This window comes from Homo sapiens, chromosome 5, assembly GCF_000001405.40.
Source record: "Homo sapiens chromosome 5, GRCh38.p14 Primary Assembly".
Lineage (NCBI taxonomy): Eukaryota > Metazoa > Chordata > Mammalia > Primates > Hominidae > Homo > Homo sapiens.
The window spans coordinates 33,229,297-33,257,119 of NC_000005.10; the positions used below are offsets into that span (position 1 = coordinate 33,229,297).

Here is a 27,823-nt window from a genome sequence, read left to right on the forward strand (position 1 = left end):
CAATGTTCCCGGAGCCTGGTGAAAGCTGCCACCACGAGAGGATCTGTGTGGCAGGAGCTGTGGCCTCGGACAGTGAACACAGGTACTGCCAGAATTGTGACAAAGCAGGCATAAAGCCAGCGAAGAAATACTCTGATCCTGCCCTCTTGTCACCTTCCAGTCCCCTGCCAGTACCTCCAATGTGCCAAAATAAAGCAGAAGCCGGAGAGTAAGGATTTCAGATGAGGCAACCAAAAGAGGTCAGCTTCCCGGGCACAGAACTGGTCAAAATAGGGTGGAATGAATCTGACGGATGTGGTGGACATAGAGGGGAGCAGCATGCCAAGCAGACATATCTACTTTCCTGTCTACAAATCCCATGCTCTTTTCCCTATAGGCACTACTGAGATACAGAGTAAACTATCATTGTTTGAAAAAACTAGGAAGGAGACTTCAGTCTTATTGAGATATGTATTTCTGCAGGTTAGGCTGAAGCCTCTGCATGTCCCGATGCCTGATGGAGATGGAGGAATCCTTTCTACCCAGACAGAAGTCACACTATGTAGCCTGTCCTCTTTAGAACGTAAGTACATTTTCATTTCTTCAAAACTGATGCAACCCCCAGAGGGAAAATATATGATTGAGTTTCAGCATAATGTTAAGCTCTACAAAAACAAAAATTGAAAAAGATGATGGCAGATGGGTTAGGTGTTGTATATGACAAACTATCAGAAAAAAAAAAAGTTATACTTTCATACGACAAGCAGTCTTACAGGTAGTATACATTTTTTTCTGGGAAGGACTTAAAATGAAATGATAGAGAATGTGGTAGTCATTAAGCCTACTTCACGTATTAATCAAGCAAAATAACCTTTTTTTCACCGAGTGCAGAAACAGATTTGAAACTCAACACTTTCAGTCCTGTTGGCATCCACTGTACAATTGTATTCACTCTGTTCATCTTTTGCTCAAGTGCCTGCTTATCTCTTCCATTCTGGTTCTCAGGTGTCTAAAAATTCCTTAAGTTCAGCACAGTCCTTTCCAAGTATTAGTAGAAAGATCACTACAAAGTGTAAAAAAAAAAATCCTGAGACTGTATTACCTTAGTATGAATACAGTTTATCAAACTACTTTCCTGCTTTAATTAGAGAATGTTATACTACAGAAAGAAAACACAAGAAATACTTTCAACAACAACAAAAAAGTAATGAAAACACCGTAAGCCTTTGAAAAGAAAATAGAGAAAAGAAACTCTAGAGTTGAAGAAGAGGTTGCAGATTGTGGTGGCGGAGGCCGTGGACACCCGTGGAGGACAAACTTTCTCACTTATTTGCCCAGGGCAGGCCCTAGACAGCCTCTCATTGTGGCGGTGGAGTCCTTTTGTGACCGGTCCTAGGTGCTTTTACTCAGCAGACTAGTATTTGTGACTGTACTGAAAGCTAAGCAAACGGTCACCGAGTGTTTCACCTTCCCCACAAAGCACTCTGGCTTTTATTCCTTAAAGAAATCAATCCAGTTTCCTTTAGACAGATTTCCTCTACGCTGAAACTAACTACACTTCCTTCCACTGAATAAACCACGGCCCCGGCTTATCCACTGCCACTTCCAAGTGTTTGTTTTCTTTTTCCCCAGAACAATGACGACTGTAGCGAATTCTAGATAGTGAGCCCAATACCTGAAATACCCTTTATCAATTAATTACACTATTTGGCAGGCTCCAAAAGAGTGACAAATACAATCTTTCCTTTAGAAGAAATTTAAAGAAAAAAGAATATCAAGGGTATCTAATGAAAATAATTAAATAAGCAAAACTGTTCAATTTTATAGTGATGCAGATACAATAATATGATCAACCTTCTGTGACCTGTTTGCCAATTAGGGCAGAGTCGCGAAGCCTGAAATAGTAGAGGGAAATGGTCAACATCCTTACAACTAAATTGATTTTTTTGTTTTGTTTTCCAACTAATGTGTTTTTAAGTAAACCAGAGTATCAGGCAGGGTAATTGGCTAAAGCCTGAAGGTGGCTAAAGCCTCAGGGGGAAAGGGCTTTTCACCCTGGCTTTTCTTCTGCTCATGGTGTGCATGAGAAAATACTGTTCTCAACCTAGCCATCATTCAGATGGAACTCCTGGGTCAGGTATTTTAACCCAGTGAAGATGTTTGTGAAAAGACCGTCATTATACATTTTGACTAAGGATGACCTAATTTGGTACAGCCCAATTTATCATCCCACAGTGTTCTTCAATTATGCAACATTCCCTCTGTGTAAGCTCCTATCTAAAAGAATTTGACAGTCATGAGATACTAAATGTTGATGGCAAGAACTCTCTTAAAACAATGTTTTTCAATTTTAAGAAATTATATAGTCATAGTACAGAAAATTCCATGCCTACTCATTAATAAGTATCTTAAATGTTTCCTACCTGCATTCATTCATTCTATCAGGCACTCAATACAACCTGTTAACTTGTTTTTTAGATTTCTATTTTCTACCAGTTAAATAACTCACAGGTGCCAGGCATTGTGTTAGGTATAGATAGTCTCACGTATTGTCTCCTAAATTCATTACAGAAATCCTGAGTTAGATATCACCTTCAAGAGACCTTGCTATGGACACGGGGGATTATTATTACTAAGATGCAGGCCTTGTGCTACACAAATACATCAGAATTAGATTTTTAAAGATATCCAATTCTTAGCATTATTTAAAAATTTCTTTGCAAATTTTTGACCAAATAGTTCCTCACCATTGTACCATTTTTTACTCTATTTCGAAAAATCACATTCCTGTGGTAGCAACACATGGTAAGCAGATCTACTCTAGAGCACACTTATTCCTGGTGAAAATCTTGTAAATGCATACTCTCGGTCACAAGATTAAAATGCATTAAACGACTTGGCCCAAATTCAACACTTATAGTAAAAACAGTTTGATATGCACAGCCCAGTGATACTGAGACTCTTATGTCACTTTTATATATAGTGACCACTTTTTAATTTAATGTGCTAGTGTGCTCCATCAACCTCAGAAAAGTGAAATGTATCAGTATTTTGTCGGCCCTTCCAAGGCAAGTGTAAGGGCTATAAATGAGCAGAGCTGAAACACAGGGTCTAAGATGTTTGAAGGTTAGTGGGAGAAGGGTTCTCAGGAGCATTTTACAGGCAAAAATGTGAATAACTAAATGAAACAACAGAGATATATAATGCTAATATATTCATGGCCATAGATGAAATTAACTGGCAGAAGCTAAAATGCATCACAGTGGTATCACTGCCAGTATTATCCTCAAGATTTTATCTTCCTTCAACCTTCATTCTACAGGGATCAGATTAAATCAGCCACAGTGGAAATTCAATTTAACTCAATAGCATTGCTGAATAAATCTGATTACTCACTTCTTTATCTTTTGATACCTGGACCATACTATTACCTGGGCCTCGGTCATCTTTTATTTAAATTAGAGGAGATTCTGTTTTGGTTTTCAGAAAGTTTAAGACAACTCATCCAGGTTAGGTCCTCTTAACAGAATATTGCCTCATTTTAAGATAATTTTTCCACCCTAAAAAGAGACTCTCCAGGCAATGGAGATTTCTGCCTCCTCTTCAGATCTACACTTTATATCTTTGTAGATCTGGCATGTCTCCATGAATCCCTTTAAATGAAGTGTGATTTTTAAACATTTTGGTTCAGACTTGGGGCTGAACATACTCTACTCACACATAAAAGAACAAATTAAATTTTAGCCCAGGATACTTGTGGATATAAGGCCTACAGATTCTGGCAATGCCAGCTAGGTATATTCTTTAGTGTCTCTTTAAATCTTTCTTAATGTATAAATGACATTTAAAAGCCCCTTTTTCATTGCAGTTGGCAGAGTACCTAAGACCGTAACAAGTTGCTTCCCCAGTAAATGTCATTTTCCCTTAACCACAGGGCTATAATTTAAAACCGTAGATTTTTTTTTTTTAAGGGAGGTGAAAAAAAAAAAAAAAACCTTCTGGGAGTGAAGCCTAGAATTTCCCATCTATGAAAAATGGGAGTTGTTACAGAGTGGGAGACTGGCTAGAGGCCAAGAGCCTAGAGTTACTGACTTCAAAATGGTTTTTCAGACCAATATATCAGACGGAGGAGTCCTATGTCTACACTAGCCATGGCAACTTATAAAAGAGAGGAAAACAGAAGGCAGGTGGCAAGAGCTTGGTGCAGTGCAATAGTTAAACATACACACTTTGGAGCCAGAAACTAGGTTCAAATCCAAGTTCTACTACTTGCTTATTTTGTGACCTTAGACAACTTAGTTTAAGTTTCCCTATTGTAAAATAGAGGTAATGATAGCACCAGTGAATTAGTTTTCTATTGCTGCATGACAACTGCCACAAACTTAGCAGTCTCTGTGGATACAAACTTAGTGACTTTAAAACAACACAAATGTATTCCCATAGTTTCTGCAGGTCAAAGCCAGTCACATTTTAGTGCATATATATGTATATGCCCAGGGTTTCACAGGCTGAAATCAAGGAATTGGCTGGGTGCATGCTCATCTAGAGACTTGACTAAGGAAAGATTCACTGCTAAGCTCTTTTGGGTCATTTCCTTGTGATTGTATGACCGAGGTTTCTGATTTCTTGTTGACTGCCAATGGAGGGTTCATTTTCAACTCCTAGAAGCTGCCTGCTGTACCTGACATGTGTCGCTCTCCACAACACAGAAGTTTGCCACATCAAGGCCAGCAGGAGAGTCCCTCTTAAACTATGAATTTCTTCTTTCTCTTTTTTTTTTTTTTTTTTTTTTTGAGATGGAGTCTTGCTCCATCACCAGGCTGGAGTGCAGTGGCGCGATCTCGGCTCACTGCAACCTCCACCTCCGAGGTTCAAGTGATTCCCTTGCCTCAGCCTCCCGAGTAGCTGGGACTACGGGCGCCCGCCACCACGCCCGACTAATTTTTTGTAGAGATGGGGTTTCACCACGTAGGCCAGGATGGTCTTGATCTCCTGACCTCGTGATCCACCCACCTCGGCCTCCCAAAGTGCTGGGATTACAGGCGTGAGCTGACACGCCTGGCTGAATTTCTTCTTTCAAGATGGGCCCAGTCCCTTTTAAAGGCTCACCTGATTAGGTCAGGTTCAAATAGAATAATCTCTCTTTTGAATAATTCAGAGCCAACTGATTAGGGATCTTAATTACATCTACAAACTTATTTCATCTTATAAAACAACAATCATAAAGTGATAGGCTTCATATTTGTAAGTCCCATGCATGCTCAGGTGGGTATGAGGGAGGGGGATCATACAGGGCATATACACAAGGGGGCAGGAATCTTAAGGGTCATTTTGGAACTCTGCGTAAGACAACAAGCTTCAAAAACCCTTGGGAGGATTAACCGAGTTACAATAAATATAAAGCATTTAGTGCCTGAATTGCTATGTAAAATTTCCCATTATTATTTTTCACAGACTGGATTTCTTAGGAGGATACAGAAGGTCTAAATGACCTGCCAACCACGTGTTCCTGTGCTAGAACTCAGAATTAAACCTAGACCTCTCCTGATCTATTCAAGCTTTTCTTCTTCATGCTACATTCCTGATAGCATTTGGCCTATGATGATGACCTTCCTGGAGAATGCTTCTCCCTATAGCTGTTTCTTCTGCTTCTTAAGCAGCTATTTCAGAAGAAATAGTACTTCATCTTTTTCAGCTTGAATCCATAGGTAACAAACTTCTTCCTCATGGGGTGCTGCTATAGGTGGGCTCTTCCATTTGGTCCTCAAAATATGGACAGGGCTGGGGGGAAGGAGTCACACCACGACAGCCAAGCTGCAGACTCTGTTTGTATAAATCATTGCAGATGTACAGTGCTGCCTTAGAAGGGTCAGCCAACTAGACCCATCTAAATACTAGATGGTATTTAGAAAAGGCTGGAGTTTCCAAAGCCACTTCTCCTTCCCTCCAAAGTATAAATCAGTTTGAGCCTGTAGGCTGACTGGTACTCTCAGGTGACCTGGTCCACTAAAAAATATACAAAACTTCCAGTCAATCTGGGGAAGAAAATTCTTTACTTTGATCCCATATCTAATTAGATTCAAGAGCATATTTTGCATTCTGAAGGCGGAGCTTGCTTACAGTGATGTACCAGATCTCTCTTTTGTGCACATCCCAGCAGGAAGTATCTACACAGAACCTTGATAATAATAATCACCAGTAATCCCTCCTCACCTGGCTGCTCTCCTCCTCGGTGAGTCACTGATACACTGGAAAGACATGCAATGGCAGCTCCTGGAAGGTTTGAAACCACTGGGTATAGAGTTTCTAGGGGTTCACACCGAGTACCAGTGGTGTAAATACATGTGAGGGGAACACGGTGTGGAAGTATAGTAAACCTTATGTCTATATGGTGGAAAATTTTGAAATCATGTGCTACTACTAAGTATCCTTTATCATATTATTAGTTTGTTAGGACTAGCAGAACAAACTACCATAGATTGATGGCTTCAACAGCTGAATTTGTGTTTTTTACAGTTTGGAGATTAGAAGTCTGAGATCAAGGTGTCAGCAGAGTTGGCTTCGGAGGCCTTTCTCCTTTGGATTGCAGGGGGCTTTCTTCTCCTGTGTGTTCACAGGGTCTTTCCTCTGTGCATGCACACCCCTTGTGCCTCTTCCTCTTCTTATAAGAACATCAGTCACAGAGGCATGAGGCCCACCCATATGACCTCGTTTTACCTTAATAACCTCTTTACATGCCCTGTTTCTACATATAGTCACATCCTCAGAAAGTGAAACCACAGATAAGGGAAGACTACTGCACATTTGTGACTTACCTAGCCATTACTTCAACCGCATATCATCACAGGCATCTTCTTTACAGTACCCGCTGAGAAAATAGTAAATATGTATCTCTTCTTGAACATTACAGTGATGGAAAAGTCACTTCCCTGAAAGTCAACATATTCCACTTCATTACTGAACCAGTCTATATACTAGAAAGGCGTTCCCATTCATTGTACTTACAGCTACCTCCTACAGCATCTAGCCAATGGTCTTGATTATGCCCTTTGTAACCACATAGAAGTTAGATCTTTTAACTTTCCTTTCTCTGGAGAACTTCTATCAACACTTTTCTTCAGTTTTATGTTCCACATTCTTTTTGTTTGTTTTTATAGGTCATGCTACTGAATAGTCTAGAACAGTAAGAACAGAATATATAAGGACTGTAAAATTGTTTGAACTAGAAGGACAGGGAGATTACTTAACCTAATCAGCATATTTATCATGGGGAAAAGAGTCCAAGAGAACTAAAGTATACACATAAAGTTATATATATAAAACATAACATAAATGTTATATATATATATATGTTATATATATAACATAAAGTTAAAGTTCTAAATAATTGGGGCTGGAATTAGAATATATGTCTCTAGTCTCCTTTTCACTATGTCAAGTGGCTTCCAATCTTCAATGCAGTAATGTTTACATTTCTGTGTAACACAGGGCATATTTTTAAATCTTTATTTAACAGATGAGGAAATAAGACTCATCAGGTTTTTATAAGGAAAGAGCTTGAATAGAAGAACAGCTTCCGGTTCAATATTAATTGGCCAGTTCATTTAAAAAAAAATCAAAAACCTTCCACTGAAAATTTGACAGTGCATCACTGAGAGGCCTACACTAAAGAGGGCTTAACTGAAAAGAACTGAAGGGGCTGTTTACAGAGCAGTGCTGAGTTATGGGAGAAAAGGGAAACTGTGATGCATCTAGAAACTAGGAGAAGTGAAAAGCCATTACTATTCTTAGGTCTGGAGGAGCAAGGGGAGAAACCAGGGTTTATTCCTGGCAAAATGGAGGAAAAATGGCTGCCCCATATAAAAGCTGGGGTCTTAGAGGGTCATCTGTTGCCAGAATGCTGTAAAGCCAGGAGGACTGGGGTAAACCTCCTGGACTTCTTTTTCATCTTGCCCTTAGTTTCTTACTGGTGTCTCTCATTAGCCAAATCTACACAGAAACCAGGAGCAAGGGAGCTTATTGGTGTACAAGGAAGAGAAAACAATGGGTGGAGCAGAGAAAATAACCAGTGCAGGTTGAGAGTAGAAGGATGTAAGCACCTGACAGATGCTTCCCAGCCACCACACAAACAGAATCAATCCACTGAGACCATGGCACTGCAGTAGAGAAAGAAAGAGTTTTATTGACGCAAGGCCAGTTCTCACATGGGAGAACTAAAGTTATCACTCAAATATCACTTCCTCCTGAAGGCTCAGAGGTTAGGGGTTTTATGGACAATTTGGTGGGCAGGGGGCTAGAGAAGAGTGCTGCTGATTGGTTGGGGATGAAATCACAGGGGTGTGGAAAACCATCCTCACAGGCTGAGTCTACCTCTGGTAGGGCCACAGGACCAGCTGAGTCATGGGTCATGAGTCTGGGTGAGGTCAGTGAGAAACACCTAAAGAAAAACCAATGTTAGGTTCCACAATAGTGATGTTATCTATAGGAGCAATTGAGAAGTCACAAATCTTGTGACCTCTGGCCACATGACCCTTGAGCAGTAAGAAATTATAGAAACTATGCCTACATCATTGCAGAATTCAGGCCCCTCCCATAATCCTATACCTGTGACCTTTCATTGGTCTTATAAAGTGAGTATTTCGTCCCTGGGTCAGTTTTAGGGAGGGACTATTATCATAATTCCTCCCAAAGTTAGCTTGCTCTATGCCTAGGAATGACCAAGGACAGCTTGGAAATCAGACTGTCATAATTTTGCAAAGGTGGTCTTAGGGACATCAGTAAAAACAAGTGCTTTCAGCCAGGCTCTCTTTTTAGCTAGTGGTTAACTATTTGATGCTTTTAATAGCCTTAGAAAAGTTGAAAGGATAGGGAGATATATAAAAAATATTCTAGAATCTATAAACACAACTTTTAAAAGAAAATGTATTCTTTGTTAAAATCACATCAGAAAAACAAACTGCTAAGATGTCTAATATGTCTCTGTTGATAAATGAAACTCATCTTGTTCCTTACCTGGCCTAAAATGAGTGGGCCTGCTTTATTATATTTAATGCAGCCTACAGTTCTCTCCTGGATCCTTGTCAAAATCTGTTGTAAGGAACTTATTGAGCTTGAACCTGTCCTAGAAATTAGTTAGACTTCATTTTCAAATGAAGTTTTTCTTTTTTAAATTAAATAGAGGAGACATGGTCTTACTATGCCGCCCAGGCTGCTCTCACAGTTTGGGGCAATCCTTCTGCCTTGGCCTTCCAGAGTGCTGGGATTTCAAGCATGAGCCACCACACTCAGCACTATTATGTCAAAAAGTCTATGTCAAAGCTACCCTCCTTCTATTATTCCATCCCATACCATTTTCTGGCTTTATGGATATATCTCACCCCCAAAATACATGGATTATTTTTCTAGCTACCCTAGAATATTAGGGTTTTTTGACCTCAGGATTGTTGACATTTTGAGCCAGATAATGCTTTGTAGGTAATGAGGGTTAACCTGGCATTATAGCTGTTTAGCAGCATCCTTGGCCTCTGCCAACTAGAGGCCAGTAGAACTGCCCCAGCTGTGATAAGGAAAAACGTCTTCATACATTGCCAAATGTCCCTGGGAGGTAAATTGTCCCTGTTTGAGAGCAACCTCTGTAAATGCTGGAGAAAGGAAACCCAGGCTCAAATTTATCTGGCTGTATCCAGGCTCCTCCAGGTGCTTTGTGTTTGCAGTGATCCCAGCTAGCTCAACTAAGTCCAAATAAAACTAGGCAAAGATCATAAACTGTTTAAAGGAGAGAAATCAATTGAACCTTGTTTTGTTTTGTCAGCCAGCAAGAGAAAAACCTACAGCCAGGTGCTTGCTTAAGACCAAAAGAATAAATTTTATACACCAAACCCCACAAACTCTAAAATAAGGCTTTATAAGGTGTCAGATTGTGAACTGACTTTCCCTAGTTACAATCTCTACCAAATGGTTTTAATGTGGCTTGTAACTCAAATGTTTAGTCTGAAGGAGTCAGGGAAGAACTGAATCCTCAGCAGAACTGAACCAAAGCCTTTTAAAGAGCTGAATCACCTGGCTGCATGAGTCTCGGCACAGACTGAACTGTTGCCCACAAAGAGGAAACTGGGACTTTCAAGGGATTATTTTGAAGGTGACTGTAGGGGAATGTAGTACAAGGACATCTGTGTTTTCAAAACCTTGTGAAGTTTTCCCCCCACAAGGGCATTGTTTTAATTTATCTCTGTGATGCAGGCAATCTTCCTAACCTAAAGTACTGGAGATAACTAAGTTCCACAATTTTTTATCTACAAAAGAATTCAGTTGGGCAAAACACCCTTGAACAGCCGTGATCCATTCCCATGGGGGAGGAAAAGTGAGTTCTTCCTTTTGATGAAGCACCACCCTGAGGAGTAGGAGACTAAAGAGTAGGAAGGAATCCTAGAGACATTCAGTGCAATCATGTACTTTTCAAACTTTTGCTTGTGTAAGAATCACCTATGAGGAACAATGTAGTATAAATGCAGATTGCACGGCCAACCCACAAAATTCTAATTCAATAGGTGCAAGATAGACCCGGGAATCTGTGTTTCAACAAGGATTTTTGAGCATGAAGCACGTGGCAAACAGATCCTGACCAGAAACACTGACCTCGACCAACTTTGTCATTCATTTTACAAACAAAGAAACTGAAGCCCAAGAAAGTGACACTAGCATATTAAAAACAGTACGGAAAAGAGAACCCAGGTCTCCTGGGTGTGCTATTAATGCTCCTTTCTCAGCCTCACCACGAAGTATATTATCTATATACCATAATATGATAAGTAACACCACAGATCAAAATACTGTATCATAATCCAAAAAGCCCATGCTAAGAGAGTTCGGGCCGCAGACCTTGCTTTTAGAACCGATGAGCTGTTCATGGATCCAGGAAAGCTACTCTTTAGGAATAAAGTCTGAACACATGGCAGAGGCTTGTGCTGCCTCTGGACTAGGAGCAGCTGCCCTGTGTTTTGCAGTTTATGCTCTATTATAATCACGGGCACCAGGGGTAAGAAGCAGGTCATATAACTGAGGTATTGCCTCCAGAAATCCTACTTGTCAGCTCATGACCAATCATGGGTAACTTTCTCCTCCTTGGGGTCCTAGTAAATGAGATCTCTATAATGTGCTCTATTAAATATTCGTAAAATTTTACTCAGTTGGCATCATATCAAACACTTTTTGTTGTTCACTGATGCATTAGTTACTACCCTTACAATCATTTCATAAAAGAAAAGCCTTTAAATCCCATTAATAGAAAGTAATCACATTTTTTAAAAATTAGTCTTCTGAAAAACTCAATATTGTGTCCCACTTTATTACACGGCAGTAATTTAAGAACAAAACAGCAACATTTGGACTAACATTTGCTGACCCAACATGGCGTTTGGCCATACTGAATAATGACTTCATAAAAGGATCTCATTGGCTGTTACTACACCGCCCTTGTATAATTATTGCTCACGCCCAATTTGTTTGTTTGTTTAACCAACTGCCTTATCTGATGACTCTGCAGAATTTGAGATGGTATTTTCCAGAAACCAAAGCTGCTCTGAGTTATAAGAAGGTCACGCTTTTTTCTAAAAAGAAACTAATCTTATCGGTGGTCTATTCTTGTTCCCTTGCTATTGGTCAAGGTATAGAAGTAAAAATAAACATGACAAGTGATAGCAGCTGCCGGACAACACAAATTTTTCATCTAAGCATCCTCACTGCAGGGAAGAATGTGTATCCTTTTTACTATGATTTTGAAAAGCATTCATTTAGTCTGTATCATCCGCAAACAGAGAGAAATAAGATGCTTCCAATTTCTCATTATGTCCATTTCAGTGGAAGTAGCATGGAGATAATGAAAGATGCTTAATATTGATTGTCTCTTAAATGTGGAAATTACTGTTGTCCACTGAGAAGTAAATGTGGTGAGAAAAGCTGTTTTCAGCTCATAAAGTAGTGGTTATTATTTCATACTTTTATAGAGCCCTAAATGTACAGAGTGCTGACAATATGTGAAGTGGGGCCAAGCAAATCTAATTTCTGGTCCAAAGCAGGCAGATTCCAAATGCAGACCCAATCCAACATGAAACCAATGACACAAAATCAACATGGTATAGCTTGGAGTGATTGCAAAGGGAAAACTGTGGGAGAGAAAGTGGTTTCAGGGTGAAGAAAATAAGAGGGATCTCCCTAACATGTAATAAAATAATAGAAACCCTTTGAATAAGCCCTGGAGTCTTAAAGTGACTTGTCCAAACCAGCATTTTCTTCAAGAAGCCTTTCATCTTTTACTTTCCCAGCAGATAAAACAAATCCACTCCAGTGCAATGAATTAAATGTCAAGTGTACACATATATAATACATCTAGATGTGGGGGCATTGATCCCTAGACACAAGTCACTCCATCCTCATTAGTTATTGAACTGAAAGCCTGGAGAATGCCCTTATGTAAAGGTGCAAATAATGCTTTTCCTCTGAAGCAAAAGGAAAAAACCTTCTAAATGGTGGAGGTTCTTTTGAACCTTGTTAATAGATCAATCCAAGAATAGAGCTCTGTGTGTACAACATGATCAATCAAAAGCCACACAGAAAACAGAAAAAAAAAATCTTCCAGACCAGTGCCAGCGGCCTTATCATAATTGCTTCCTGACAGATGCAGTGGATAAACAAGCTCACGACAAGGCCAGTCAGGCTGCTCCAGAGGCCTTGTTTCTTGTTGCTCTAGGTATCAAAATAGGAAGTAAATAGCTGAGAAACAGTTCTGAGAATTGCCAGGAGGAAGTGCTCCTTCCTCTCCCTGCACTTGCTAAATTTGCTTATCTTTCATTCTCTTAGCACAGCCTTCTGCACGCTGCCTGGGACCCCTTAGCTGCCCGGGACCCCTTAGCCAAGACCATTTTTTCCCCAACTGCCTTTGACCTAATGCCATCCAGCTGACCCAATGCATCCCCTCTTCTCCTCTGCCAACAAAATGTGATTTAAAAAAAAAATAAGGACACAAACAAACCCCATCAATTTCCATGCAATGGACCCCCTAAACAAATAAACAAACAAACAAACAAGAAAGCAGACCTCTGGCTAAGGGAAATATCCACCATAATGTGAGAGGAAACAGCACTAAGGTTGGGTAGGTTTTCCCCACCAGTCAAACAGCATCTCAGTTTGACTGAAATACTTCGTCAGGTTCCCTATGAGTAACCAATAAACAGCTCTGGAGCTCATTAACTGTCCAACCTAGTGTTGGTTCCTACCAAAAAAAACATGTAAACTTATTTTACGAGGAGCCTGGATTTGTGTTACCACCTATCTGATGATTCTAATACACCATCAGCAGCTTGGCACCTGACACTTACATAAGGCTTTTCATGTATGTATGCCCACAGAGCGTTAATGCATCTGGCTGTCCAAGTCCTTCTGTGAGCCAAAGAAAGCTTGTGTATCCACTTGGTCTCCCCTGCTTGGCTTTGCACGTCCTATTTCTAATTCATGTAAAGGGGTTCCTAATGTCTGTCCTAGGTCATATGAGTTCCATTTAACCTGGGATTTTTTATATGAAACGTGAATACTTTAAATTGGAGGCAACTAACAATTCACAATAGTCTCAGAGAAATGGGCTAGCTCCCTGGGATAGATACAAGGTCCACCTTGGTCTCTACCTTGGCTTTCAATTCCTCAACCTCTACAAAATATTTGACACTGGATTGTCTTTCAAATGACTGTATGCTTTAAAACTACAGAAAATCTGGATTTTTAAAAAGGCATCCAATTATGCTGAGGGTTTTCTTTTTAGCATAAAGAGGACAAATTATTGGATGACATACCTATTTTTTTATTTTCTTTTCCAATTCAGCAAATTATTCTTTAATAAAATTTACCAAAGGATCAACTTTTATAATAAAGAAGCTGAGATCATCATGGTTTCTTTTGGTCTCCTTTAAGGCATAGATGGAAAGAGCATTTGCATTGCTTTTTATGGAGTACTCATATGATGTGACAGCATCTGAGGTATTACTTTTACAATGTTGATCGTGTAAATATTTTCTGCGGCTTTTCAGCGAACTAATCACATCTAACATCACATTAAGGAAGTCATTTTAGAAGGAGCTTTATTTATAGAGAAAATTTCAGCCAAAGTGTATGCAGAAAAATTATTAATATGATGATTTGGTTGAAGAAGCAAAAACACATGCTAAATAAGTCCGAATTTCATAAATGCCGCTCTATGGGGAACAAGAGAACTCATTGGGATTGAATATTTAATTTCCTACATTGAACTGTTAAGAATTCCTTCTTTCTTCTCCACATACTGCATTAACCAAAAAGTACAGGAGCCTTTCAGTGGACAAATTCTGTATCCTCTTGGAGGAAAACCAAACTGACTGAGGGTCAAATGACCAAGCAGGAATCAAAGTCTCTAGTAAGAGCCACCACTGAGGACTTGACAAATTCAGATGTCTACCTCCGGTCATTCAAACTACTGCAAGTGAGCAGTGACTTAGGGAAACAGCAGAATGAAAAAAGTAGCAGCTCACAGGCCAGTCCTAAACATACACATTGTCAATCCATAAATTATAATACCTCTTTATTTCTCTTCTTCAACTGTTTTCTACTCTTTCTTTCCATTAGTAAGATAAAACTCATTCTCATCATTCAGAGTTCAACCAAGCAAACAGGAATGCGAAAATTTAATAGAAGGAATTTAGTTACATAGGTGATACAAAGGCTAAGAAACAAAACAGGGTCAAGGTATAGAAGTAAAAATAAGGTAAGGTAATCCAGGGATTAGCAAAAGCAAGCAGCTGCCACCACTCTGAGCTGTAAGATCAAGTATACAACTACAACTAAATAACTAGATTGACTCATTATCACTTATTCCCAATTATGTAATGGAATCCATCTAGCCATATTTGTTCATTTTATATAACATTCCTCCATATCCCACTCTCCCTGGTGAGTATTTTTTTTTAAAGAAGAAGATGAGTTTGGATAGTGAATGACTTCACAAGTGATAGTACTTTGTCCTCGATGAATTAAAAAACTTGAATCCATGTAAACATAATTCTCCTGGAAGAATGCTGTGGCTATCAACATCAGTGGTCTCTTTCTAAGCCTTAATAAGACAAGTTGAGGAAATATGAAAAGTGAAATTTACTTCCACTCAGTCAAAATATAGAGTAAAGGTTTACTCATCTGCATTTTTCTGTCTAGTGTTTTAGAAGTTCCGACCATTGCTACAAGTTTCTTTCACCTTGAGAAGAAATAACGTATTTTAATCTCTAAATTAAGAATGTTGGCCCTTCTTCCATTCTGGAACCATTTGCTATAACCCCATAACAAGAGCAATTACCTTGTCTCATTAACAACACAATAGGGCCTATCAACCTTACAGACATATCAGTCAACAGTCAGTAAATATGTCAAGTCAGACATGCTGAACTAGAAGTTGGACAGTCAACACATATTTTAGCATTCAATTTTAGTGTGTAAATTAAAATCATAATGAATTACTCCATTACAATACAGTTGAATAGCATGATGTTTACAAATGAATTCCAGTGAATCCGATTGGGATTTCTTCATGGTCTCCACCCTGGAAAACCAGCTTGAATTCTTGTATGCGGGCCAGATTCCAAGAGACATCATAATTAGATCCCAGAAGACTACATGGCAGCTGAAGAGGATGTCCCCTGTGGAATATATGGAGGAAAGGCTGGCCAAAGCAATGTTCACATTCATGCAATTATCCAGTTAATTGCACAAGGTAAATGGAGTCATATAATTATGGCTAAGTTCATACTAGGATTAGGCTAGCCCTGAACAAAATAGTGTATTTTGAGAAAGAACATAATACTGAAGCAAACTCTCCATCAACATACCATGCTTCATTTCCTTTTGCAACACTCCAGTCAAATTTCATTAAAACAAAGGTTTTAGCAGATCTCAAGGCATAATGGGAAAAGTGACCAAGCTTAGGACATGACACATTTTGACCAACTCTATTTATCTCCTATTGGCCCTAATGTGAAAGACTATTTGTGGACATTCAATTATAATCACTTGTACTTTCAAAGAACCAACGAACCTAAGGTTTTAAATAAAGGAACTCAGTTGGGAATTCTTGCAGCAAAATTATGAAGTATAGGAAACATTCAGAGGCAGGAGTGAGAGAGAGGAAGGCAAGAACTCACCTTTATTGTATTTTGTCTAAATTGAGCTTTGTGCCAGGTGTTTTTGTTGTGGTGATACTGGTTTGTTTTTTTGTTTTTATTCATGTTATTTTATTTTTCAGCTGAACTAATAAAAACTTAGTTACTGAGTGCCTATTATATGCTAGACCCCGTGAGCAAAATGGCAAACATTGAAGTTAATAGAAGTTCTTGACCAATAGTAAAATGAGAAATAATTTTTAAACACTAGAAAGAAGCAAATCCGTATTTTTATATACTTATTTATTCTTTTAACATCTTTCAACATGAAATTTCAGCTATAGAAGGTGAAAGGAAAATCTAATACTATTTCAGTAGATTTCAACTCAGATTTCATTTTGTTAGGTAAAAATTTGAAATTTTTTCTTTTTTTTTTTTAACTGGGACAGGATCTCACTATATGTTGCCCAGGTTGGTCTCAAACTCCTGGGCTGAAGCAATCCTCGCACCCTCAGCCTTCTAAAGTGCTGAGATCATAGGCATAAGCCACTGTTCCCTGCCAAAAATTTGAAATTCTTTACTTCATTTGGACATTGCAATCTGAAGATTTAAATTTGTTTTTTCTTTGTATAATTAAAACAGCATCACTGCATCTTATGTAATTATTGTTAAATTTATCTTTTTCTAACAGCCTTTAGCTTTCTTTATTTAATTTTAAATTTTTTCTTATTTATTGATTTATTTATTGAGGCAGAGTTTCCCTCTTGTTTGCCCAGGCTGGAGTGCAGTGGCACCATCTCGGCTCACTGCAACCTCCACCTCCCAGGTTCAAGCGATTCTCCTGCCTCAGCCTCCCGAGTAGCTGGGATTACAGGTGCCCACCACCAAGCCTGGCTAATTTTTTGTATTTTAGTAGAGACGTGGTTTCGCCATGTTGGCCAGGCTGATCTCGAACTCCTGACCTCAGGTGATCCACTTGCCTTGGCCTCCCGAAGTACTGGGATTACGGGCGTGAGCCACTGCGCCTGGCCATTTATTTTTTATTTTTTTCAAGACCGGGCCTCTCTCTGTTTCCCATGCTGGAGTGCAGTTGAGACAGCCAAGTAAAAAGGGACCCCTGGCAGAACCTCCAACCAGCCTGCCACTGGGAGGAGTGCGCACTGGGGTGGGGCCTCGGGAAGTTCATGCCCTTTGCATCTGGGAGGAGCCTGGCCTTTCTGATCCAGGGAAGTAACCTGCCATTCAATCTATGAGGTGGGAAACCAGCTAGCAGGACTCTCACTTTACTGAGAGTCTGTGTTTCCCTTTTATCCCTTTCGCCCAATAAATTCCAGTTTTCTCACTCTTCAAAGTGTCTGCGAGCCTAATATTTCATGTCCATGTGACAAGAACCTAGCTTTTAGCTAAACTAAGGAGAAAGTCCTACGACACAGTGGTGTGATCATGGCCCACTGCAGCCTGGATCTCCTAGGCATGAACCACCCTCCCACCTCAGCCTCTCAAGTAGCTGGCACTATGAGCACATGCCACCGTGCTCAGCTAATTTTTTTATCTTTTATTTTTTGGTAGAGATGGGTCTTGCTATGATGCCCAGGTTGGTCTCGAACTCCTGACCTCAAGCAATCCTCTCACCTCAGCCTCCCAGCCTGCTGTGATTATAGTTATGACCCATGCCTTTAGCTTTTGAGGGGAAAAAAAACTGTATCATTTTTTGCACAAACATAATGCTGGCGGTACACAAGAAGGTAAAACATGTAATGTCTTTCCTCCAGGGGACCACAAACATGGAGATAAAAAGTTTAAACTATTTAAACTTTAAATTCAACCAAATTTAATCATTGATTTAATTCTGATGATATAGAAAGCATTTCTACTGACATTTTACAGCATCCTAATAGCAAATACTTGAAATAACTATTTTAAATGTAAAACAAAGAAGTACCAGTCAACAGAAATTACTGACCAACAAAAACTCAGAAAATGAAGGGAGCATCACTTATATTTGTTAATAACCTACCTGGGAAACTAACTCAAAGGGATTTTGATAGGCTGGATTTTTAGCCTTTGTAAGAATTTATTTAGTGGATTTGAAAACTAGTTAATAACATGAAAACTGTTCAATAACAATGCCAAAGATATGGCTTATTTTTTCCTACAAGGTTGTAAACCCTTTCAATTTAAGTAGCATGTTTACTAATCTTTCCATATTTTCCGCAAAACCCAGTACAGATCTAGAAAAACAATAACGGCACACGAAGTAAATGGTAAGAAAACAGCTACTTCTTTTGCGTTTCCTTTTTTTTTTTTTTTTTTTTTTTTTTTTTTGAGATGGAGTTTCGCTCTTGATGCCCAGGCTGGAATGCAATGGTGCGATCTTGGCTCACTGCAACCTTTGCATCCCAGATTCAAGCGATTCTCCTGCCTCAGCCTCCTGAATAGCTGGGATTACAGGCATGTACTACCACGCCTAGCTAATTTTTGTATTTTTAGCAGAGACGGTGTTTCACCATGTTGGCCAGGCTGGTCTCAAACTTCCAACCTCAAGTGATCCACCCACCTCTGCCTCCCAAAGTGGTGGGATTAGAGGCGTGAGCCACTGCACCCAGCCATCTTTTGTGTTTTTTGAAAAAGAAGAGTGGTAAACTGATTTTAGTCAGAACATACTGAATATATGCCCAACAAATACTTTCTTATATTTTATGAAAAAATACATTTTCTACAGTATGAGTAAATTATTTTCTATATTCCTTCCAGAAACAGTTGCTCTGAGAAATAGCTATTAATACATTTGTCTCTATAATCCTAACAAGTATGACTAGGACCTGAAAATATACATTATCTAGTTATTGCAAATTATTATCAGTACCAGCCAAAAATATTTAATAACATCATCTTAAATTCGTATAATGTTTTAATCTTGTCAAAGACTATAAGACTTTACTTCATTCTTATTTTTAATACTATTATAAAAAGGAAAAATAGCATTTCAATTGTATTGTTTCTACTTGCCTACAGTACAAGGAGATTAACTAAAATCTGAAAGTCTCAAGGTTATTTGATAAAACTTGGATTGAGTCCAGATTTACTTCTGATTTTCCAGTCAAACCAAGACTTGTTCTAAAGCCACAATAACAACGAAATTGATGCTTTCATCTCCCAGAAATATGGCTGTGCTGTGATCCATGAATTTTAAATTAGAAGTAAATCTAGGTAAGATATAGCAGTGGGTTGCTTTGTATATATAAATCATAATTACTGAATAAAGAGCCTCATATTTAGGGTGTGCTTCGATATTATTGTTACTATACTTCAGCATCAACCATGTGTCAGAGGCTATTTTAAGTGCTGGAGATACAATAGCAAGCAACATAATCTATAGCTATAAGTCTACTTTTAAAGGGAATTTACTTTTCAAAGTAGTCAGGAAATGAATGCAACTCTTAACCAATAAAGTCTCTTCAAAGAAAACACTCCAAGTGAAATCAAAGACTCTCAGGATTAAGAGTTTACAGATCATGTAGACAATGATTAAGTCAAAGATTTAAGACCTGAAGTTGAAAATTCAGAAGCAATGGTTTATTTTTATCTATATTTTTAATAATTTTTAATGAGATAATTCATAATAATCTTTACTTTTAGTAACCTTGAAAAGCTAAAAAGAGTATCACAATAGTAACAAGATTAACACCTAGCAAAATTAAATAAATATTTGGGGAGTAGAAACATTAGTAAAGCAAGTATTAAACTACTTCTCCAATTAATCCCATTTTATTATTTCATTACCTAGTGAGAAGTTAAAATTTTAAAAGCCCTTTTCCCCAGGAAGCTAAATGTGCCTTGCCATAATGGCATTTAACGTTGTGCTCTGGAACCAAGGTGCCCATGATATCACTCAATAGACAAAACAGAAAATAGAATTTTATAGTTAAAGGTAAAAGGTCAGCTACTTTTATTCACTTTTAAAAAATAAAGTATGACTTATAATCAAGTGCACATATTTAAGAATACAGAATAATGCATTTTGCATATGTATATATTCATGGAAGTGCCACCCAGATGAAGATATAGAACATTATCAGCAGCACTTCAGCAAGCCTTATGGACCCCTCAGATACCTCCCTCTAAATGTAATCAGCATTCCAAAGATCAAGTAGTTTCATAAATTTAGAAAGTTCTAGAGTAAATGCGGAAAGAACAGGTCTCAATATAAGCTTTATAACTAACAAGAGTGTGGTAAACTCCACCTGACCTCTCCCAAAAAAGAAATAAAAGATAAATTGTATCATTTATTATATTATGCTAAGTGCTTACTACACTCTGCTAAGCATAGTGCCAATTAAATCAGACTGATAGGGGAAGACTTTAAAGAAGAGGTGATATCAAAGCTGATTTTGAAGAAAACGTAAGAGCTAAAAGAAGTTAGGAGAGGGTGATGTATGGAAGGGAATAGGAATGAAAGAGGATAACTGAGTATGTAAAAGCATGGAAGAGCAGAACACATTTGGAGAACTTTATTTGTAGGGCTGGAGCAAAGGATTCACGTGGGGTAGTGAGAGATAAGCTGCAGAGGTAAGAAAGAGACCAATCATAAGAGCTGTGGGCATTAAAGTAAAAGTTAAACTTCATCCTAGACATTAATAAGGAATCACAGCTTGAGCCGAGGCAGTCAAGAAGGGAGGTGGCATCATCAGATATATATTTAAGTGTGGAGGATGGATTAGTCCTCTGGAGAAGTTGGAAGACTGAAAGCAAAGGAAAGAGGTGATTGCAGTAATCTGGATGATGGTGGAGGTGATGTTGTGGATCTAACCAGCCAGTGGCAGAAGGCATGAAAACCAGGGAATTAACTAGAAAGATGTTAGTTAGACGTAAAATCTAACTAGGACATACTGAGCCATCAGAAGTGAGAGGCAAGTAATTGCTGGGGTTTCTGGATTTGGCAATGGTGGCACCCTGCCCCCTGAGACAAGGTATACTTTTGACTACATTTGGAGGGACAATCATGAGTTCAATTTTAGACAAGGTGAGTTCCAAATGCCTGTTAGATATCAAATTGAGATGTCTAAAGGCATCTGGATAATAATAGCTAACACTTAGTGAATAGGTACTACATATAAATATATATAGGTAAATATGTGTATATATATGTGTGTGTGTGTGTGTATATATATATATATATATATAGTACCTATTCACTATATAAATATACAGTACATATTCACTAAGTCAATGTGCAGTTCCTTCTAAAGAATCACATTATATAAAACAAGAAGGGATTCAAATTTAGTAAATCTGTACTGGGGCCCATCAAGAGGCATTTTTAGGAACCCCTGTTGGGATTCTAATGTAGAGAGATCACTTTGAGAAAGGTTCCCATGCCTGAGTATCTCTAGAATCAGGATAGGGACACAAAGATTTTTCCAGATTTGCCTACAGCACAAGGCGATTTGCAAAGCCCCTTTGAAAAGTAAGGGTCCGAAATTCATTTACATTTGGCAAAGTGTAATTCTTTCATTCATTCTTTCTTTTTTTTTTTTTTTTTTTTTTTTTTTGAGAGTCTCACTCTGTCTCAGACTCTCCACCCAGGCTGGAGTGCAGTGGCATAATTTCAGCACACAGCATCTTCTGTCTCCTGGGTTCAAGCAATTCTCAGCCTCCTGAGTAGCTGGGACTACAGGTAAGCCCCATCACACCTAGCAAATTTTTGTATTTTTAGTAGAGATGGGGTTTCACCATGTTACCCAGGCTGTTTTTGAACTCCTGACCTCAAGTGATCCGCCTTCCTTGGCCTATCAAAGTGCTGGGATTATAGGCGTGAGCCACCACACCCGGCATAATTCTTTATTTCTAAGAATCAAAGGCTAGTAGGAAAGATGTTTTGGATACTAAACAACTCTTACCCAACTCTAGCTTGATGAGATGTCTAAATGAATATGAAACACACGGATTGAAATATAAGGTCTTTTTAAGTGAGGAGCAAAGCCCTTGGCAAAACTGGATGGCGTTATTTTGATAAAACCCAGGGTACTACAAAAAGTTTGACACACCCGGCCCATAACCGTCTGTCCTGTTTTCTAAAGGGCATGTTTCCCTTCAAACCATGTGGGTGTTACACTAAGAGAATCAAGTGTAGGACAAGAATCTCAATTTGATAGACTGAGAGTTGACCTTTCAAATTTGTTTGGACAGGCATATTTTTCTTTACTGTAGCTTGTGTTCTTTTCCAGGTTCTAAAGGGCAGTCATGAAACTCCAAAAGTTCAGTAAAAGGGATGCAGGGAAATATATATATATATACATACATATATATATATACACACACACATATGTATATATATGCATTATATATATACAGTATATATTCTATATATATTGTGTATATATATTGTGTATATATATAGTAGATATATTGTATATATTGTTACCATGACCATCCTTGTCTGACTAGTCTCAACCCAACTATCACCTCATTTGGAATGCTTCCTAACCCTAAACTATATCTAACCCTATGAGAATGCACTGTTTTTCATATTGCTGTACTTACCAACTTATTTTATAATTAGTATCTATTCTTTTCAGTGTGCCCTATGAGTCTAAGAGCTACCTGAGGACAAGACTAGACCTTATTTAAGGCTTGAATTGTTAAGTCCTCAGAAAAGTGCCTCACAGTGGATTCTCATTAAACTTTCTCAGAAAGAAAGAAAGGAGTGAGTAAGCAAGGGAGGGAGGAAGAAAGGGAAGAAGGAGAAAGTATGTGGAGGGGAGAGGAAAGGCAGAGAAGGGAGAGGAAGAAAAGGAAGAAGGAGAGAGAAAGAAAGGAGGGAGGAGTAGGGGCAGAGAAAGGAGTTGGGAAGGAAGGAGGAAAGGATACAGTTCAAAGTTTGAATCCTAATAATGGGTCTGTTTATATTGTGTTTAAGAAGAAATACATGAACAAAGTTGACTAGGACCCTTCAAATAATATTAAAATTAGATGAAAAACTGATAATGTGGCAACCCCCCCCCACCCCACACACACACACACATTCAACTGGACACAATTCTAAAATATCAGTTCATACCAGTTCACCTAAATGTCCCCCTAAAGAGCAGATTCAAAATTTTGGCCATGTTTCTCATAGACCAATCAGCAAGACTCAAATGACCAGGCCAAATGGATAGCAATCTGATTTGTTACTCTGAAAGGAGACAATCTCGGTTAGTATGGAAATAAACTGGTTTACATACAAATATCTTCTTATAAAGAGCAAAAATTTACAAAGTCATATTTTAGAAGCCATCTAATCTAACTTTTGCTTGTGGCAGATTAGGTAAATGAAGCTCAATGAAGTGTCAGAAGCGGACTATCATCTAAATCAGGGATATCCATATTGGCTTCCCTGGGCCACACTGGAAGAAAAAGAATTGTCTTTGGGATACACACAAAATACACTAACAATAGCTGACGAACTAAAAGAAAAAAAAACGCAAAAAAAAAATCATAATGTTTTAAGAAAGTTTACGAATTTATGTTGGGCTGCATTCAAAGCTGTCCTGAGCCGCATGTGGCCCGTGGGTTGACGATTGCACAAGCTTGATTGAAATGGCAATAAGTTCATAAGGAGAAAAGAATAACACAAAGCTTTAAGGTTAGATAAATTAAAAGATCTAGTTACAAATCAGGAAATTATTATCAGGTCTGCCCACACTAATTAACATTTTGAAATAATCTATAGGCAGAGAATAAGGCTTGTTTTACACAAAACCATAATGGGATGAATTTTATTGGTGGACAAAGCAAAGTTCAAATTGTTTAATTCCTTGTGGCAAGCTTGAGTCTTGGCTATTGCATCCCTACTAAATGTCGGAACAGCAACATGTAAAACTAAGACACGAGCATCAGCTATGTTTGTTTGTGTGTTTGTTTGTTTTGAGATGGAGTCTCGCGCTGTCGCCCAGGCTGGAGTGCAGTGGCACAATCTCAGCTCACTGCAACCTCCGCCTCCCGCGTTCAAGGGATTCTCCTGCCTCAGCCTCCTGAGTAGCTGGGACTACAGGCACATGCCACCATGCCCAGCTAATTTTTTGTATTTTTAGTAGAGCCGGGATTTCACCATGTTGGCCAGGATGGTCTCGATCTCCTAACCTTGTGATCCACCCGCCTCGGCCTCCCAAAGTGCTGGGATTACAGGCATGAGCCACTGCACCCAGCCTAACTATGTTAAAAATCAATAGTAATTTTGTTCTGGAATGCTATTGACAATTTCTGAACAACTATTATCTTCAAAGCATTGCACTAAGCAGTGCATGGGACACAAATACCAACAAGACTTAGACTGTGCTCTCAATAATTTATAATCTGATAGGAAATAAAGTCCCCAGATGCTTACATCTGTGGCACGCAGGATTACATGTAAAAACACATTGGAGGTGGCAGGGCCTATTTAAGTCCATTCCAAATGATAATCTGCTGCTGGTCCCAGGAGGCTGACAAAAAAATACACTGGAATTCTCTCACCCATGAGTCCACAACAGTGTAAAGAAAATTGGGCTTGAAGTTTGAATTCCAGCTCCCCTCCTTCACTAGCTAGATGACCTTGGCGATTTCAGATTAACATTTAATTAACCTGCATCTTTATTTTTATAAAATCAACATAATAATAATGATCTAAGTTAAAACATATGATTCTAGTATGCAGTATAAATATCTAATAATGATGACAATAATAATACCTAATCCTTATTAAGTACTTATTACATGCCTGGTGTTCTACATATTGTAACTCATTTAATCTTCAAAATAACTCTATAACATAGGTAATATTAACTATTAACTCTATAAGTACTGTATTTTATAGATGAGGAAACTAAGACACAGAGCGGTTAAGTAATTTTCCAAAGAGCACATAGCTACGTGTTAGAACTGGAATTCAGATCCAGGGAGACTGACTCTAGAGTCTATGCTTAAAAATGATTGTTGAAAGCATTCAGCAAGATCCCTGTAAGAAAGGAGTTGGCAAACCTTTAATAAGAAAATAACTGTCTTCAGTGCCCTTGAATTGGGACTTTTTGATGTAACACTGAAAACAGAGTGGGAAGACATGACCATCCTCACATCTAAAACAAGATGTGGTTGGGATCAATATTCCAGCCTAGTGAGATGAGGACTCAGTAAAAACCACAGAAAAATAGTTTATTTTAAATCGTATTTTAGAATTAAGCAATATTTTAAAATGTATTTCATAATAAATAAATATCCCAAAGATGATTTCACAATTAAAAAGATAAATATTAAATATTTGAGCCTGCTATATCTTCCCCTGACTTTTAATAAAGGCAAAGACATTTGCTTTGCTTGCAGTTTTTCAATAAACTATTGACAGTATGTATCTATTACAACACAATTTCATTAACTGTGAGATCTAATAATCTCAATAAATTTATCTTGAATATTCTCAGCTTCCTTGTTTTTCTTCAAATGGATAATAATTGATCTTTAATACAGAAACTTGCCCACTGTTCATCAAAATAGAGAAAAGAACAGCTTTATTTATAAATTCAGGGTTGGTATTACAATCCCTCAAACCCATTTAATTAAACAATATGATTTACTAAAGTTTGAGAACTTATGGACAAAACAAACATGTAGGAAATATGCTGTGGTTCCATGGCTTCAAAAGCCCAAAGCAAATGCACCATAACCAATCTGATCATGTCACAGAATTCCCTCATGCTAGAGCTGGGATGAATTCTAAAGATGACTTCATTCCACAGTCCTCCAATCTGCTAGTGTACTGGTATCACCTGGGAATTTCATTTTTAAAACTTTTTCTTTTTAAATTTAAACCTACAGAAAAGCTGAAAACAGTACTTCACCCAGATTCACCGGTTTTTTCGTATTTTGCTAATTTGAGATCTTTCTTGCTTTTCCGCATTTTTGGTATTATCTTTGTTCTCACATCATTTTACTTACTGAATCATTTTAAAGTAAATTACAGATATGATAACCAGATTGGATGCTGTGGTCTGACACCTATATTCCTCTTCCCTCTTTAGGACTGAACTACTAATTTTCCCCATCAGCTGAAGAGTTTTGGCAATGAACAGCTTGCAGCTGAATCCCCTTCTGGAAATTATCCTTGGCTAAAGAGACACACTTTGATGAATGTCATGTACTCTTCCCTGGGGCAGTGTACACCCAGTGACTGGCTGATGCAGTGGTATAAAGGTCTGCTCCACTTGCCCTAAATTCAGGACAACTCCGTAAAGCCATCCCAGCCCCAGAGCTCTCTGTGCCATGAGCTGAGTTCTTTGTTGTGAGAGTATCACAGCTCCCCTTTCTCCCTAATCCTACTTCCTCACTCCCTCACAAGTGTTGAGTCCTTACAAACTTGCTGAGGAACTTAACCTGGGAAAACTCTTAAATAAGTCAGTATAATTAGATTAATTATAGTATTTAAGAATTTTATATAATATAATAAGTATAATAAGAAAATTCAGAAAATTTAACATTGATGCAATATGATAATCAAATTGTCAATACCATATTTTACCAATTGTCCTAATTTGTCCTTCATGGCAATTTTATTTTTTCTAATTCAAGATCCAATCCAGACCATATATTTTATTTAGTTGTCATACTGGTTTAGTCTCTCTTAACTCTAAAAAGTTCCTCAACTTTGCTTTGCTTTGCTTTGCTTTCCCAGACACTGACATTTTCGAAGAACATAGATCAGTTATTTTGTAGGATGCCCCTCAATTTGGGTTTGTCTGATTGCTTCTTTAGGATTAGATTTAGAGTTTGGTTTTCATAATTCATCAACTGGTCATACAACTTTTTCTAATTTTTAAGGTTATACAGCTAATTCTAAAATATCTAAAAATTTCCATCATCTTTATTTGAATTACTTGGCATATGATAGGCAATCTGCTCCACTGTAACCATTTATGTTAAAGCTATGTCTTTGGATTATAATGTAATCCTTTTGGGGACACCTTAAAATAATAATTAGGTATCCAAATTTAAGGTTCTGTCACAACTACAAGGTGTTTAACTGAGGCAAGTAACTGGGTGAATAGTTATCTTCTCTGATGACTAAGTCCACTCATATAGACGTTAAGAACTATTAATGTATCACACTCCACTTCGTTGTGTAAAATTGACAAATTTCTTTTGACACTAATCACAAGATGCATCATGAATTCAGAAATATTGAAGTGTGAAGGTAATATCCATTTTATGATTGAATCATGTGCTAAATACTGCATGCATCTTATTTAATACTGCATCTCATTTAACATTCACAGCAACTTTATAAGATTGCTATTAAAAATATTCCTATTTTATGGATGAGAAAACTCAGGCTCAGGGAGGGTAAGTAACTTTTATAAGATCACATAGTGAGTAAACAGCATAGTCAATATTCAAACACAGATCTTCTATTTATTTTATACCACATATGCAATTTCTTTTCCCAGTGTAGGCTTTCCCTAATATGAGTTTTATAATTCAGATTCCACACTCTCATTTAAAAATTCTGGGGTATCTACACTACTGTATGCTCCCAAATTCCTTAAGTACCAACTAGAGCTCTGAAACTACGTTAAACATTTTGAAGAACAGAAAAAAATCTGATAGAAGCATATCAACTTTCAAGAAATGTGCAACCTTAAATAATTTACAAATGTGAATGAGCAAAA

The 27,823-nt window shown here is 38.1% G+C and overlaps 1 long non-coding RNA gene across 1 annotated transcript, besides 1 other annotated feature; it reads left to right on the forward strand.

Annotated features, from left to right (window-relative positions):
- The first annotated feature begins 438 nt into the window (after nucleotides 1-438).
- LINC02160 (long intergenic non-protein coding RNA 2160) lies at nucleotides 439-26,257 on the forward strand. Its single transcript, NR_147008.1, has 4 exons — nucleotides 439-562; nucleotides 15,556-15,760; nucleotides 19,246-19,355; nucleotides 26,180-26,257. It is a non-coding gene; the product is annotated as a long intergenic non-protein coding RNA 2160 (long non-coding RNA).
- Nucleotides 6,672-6,721: a silencer, noted in NCBI's record as "silent region_15961". NCBI's record gives its function as "represses an Ori minimal core promoter by ATAC-STARR-seq in GM12878 lymphoblastoid cells {active_cell/tissue: GM12878}" and the evidence as "EXISTENCE:reporter gene assay evidence [ECO:0000049][PMID:35858748]".
- Nucleotides 26,258-27,823: the final 1,566 nt, after the last annotated feature.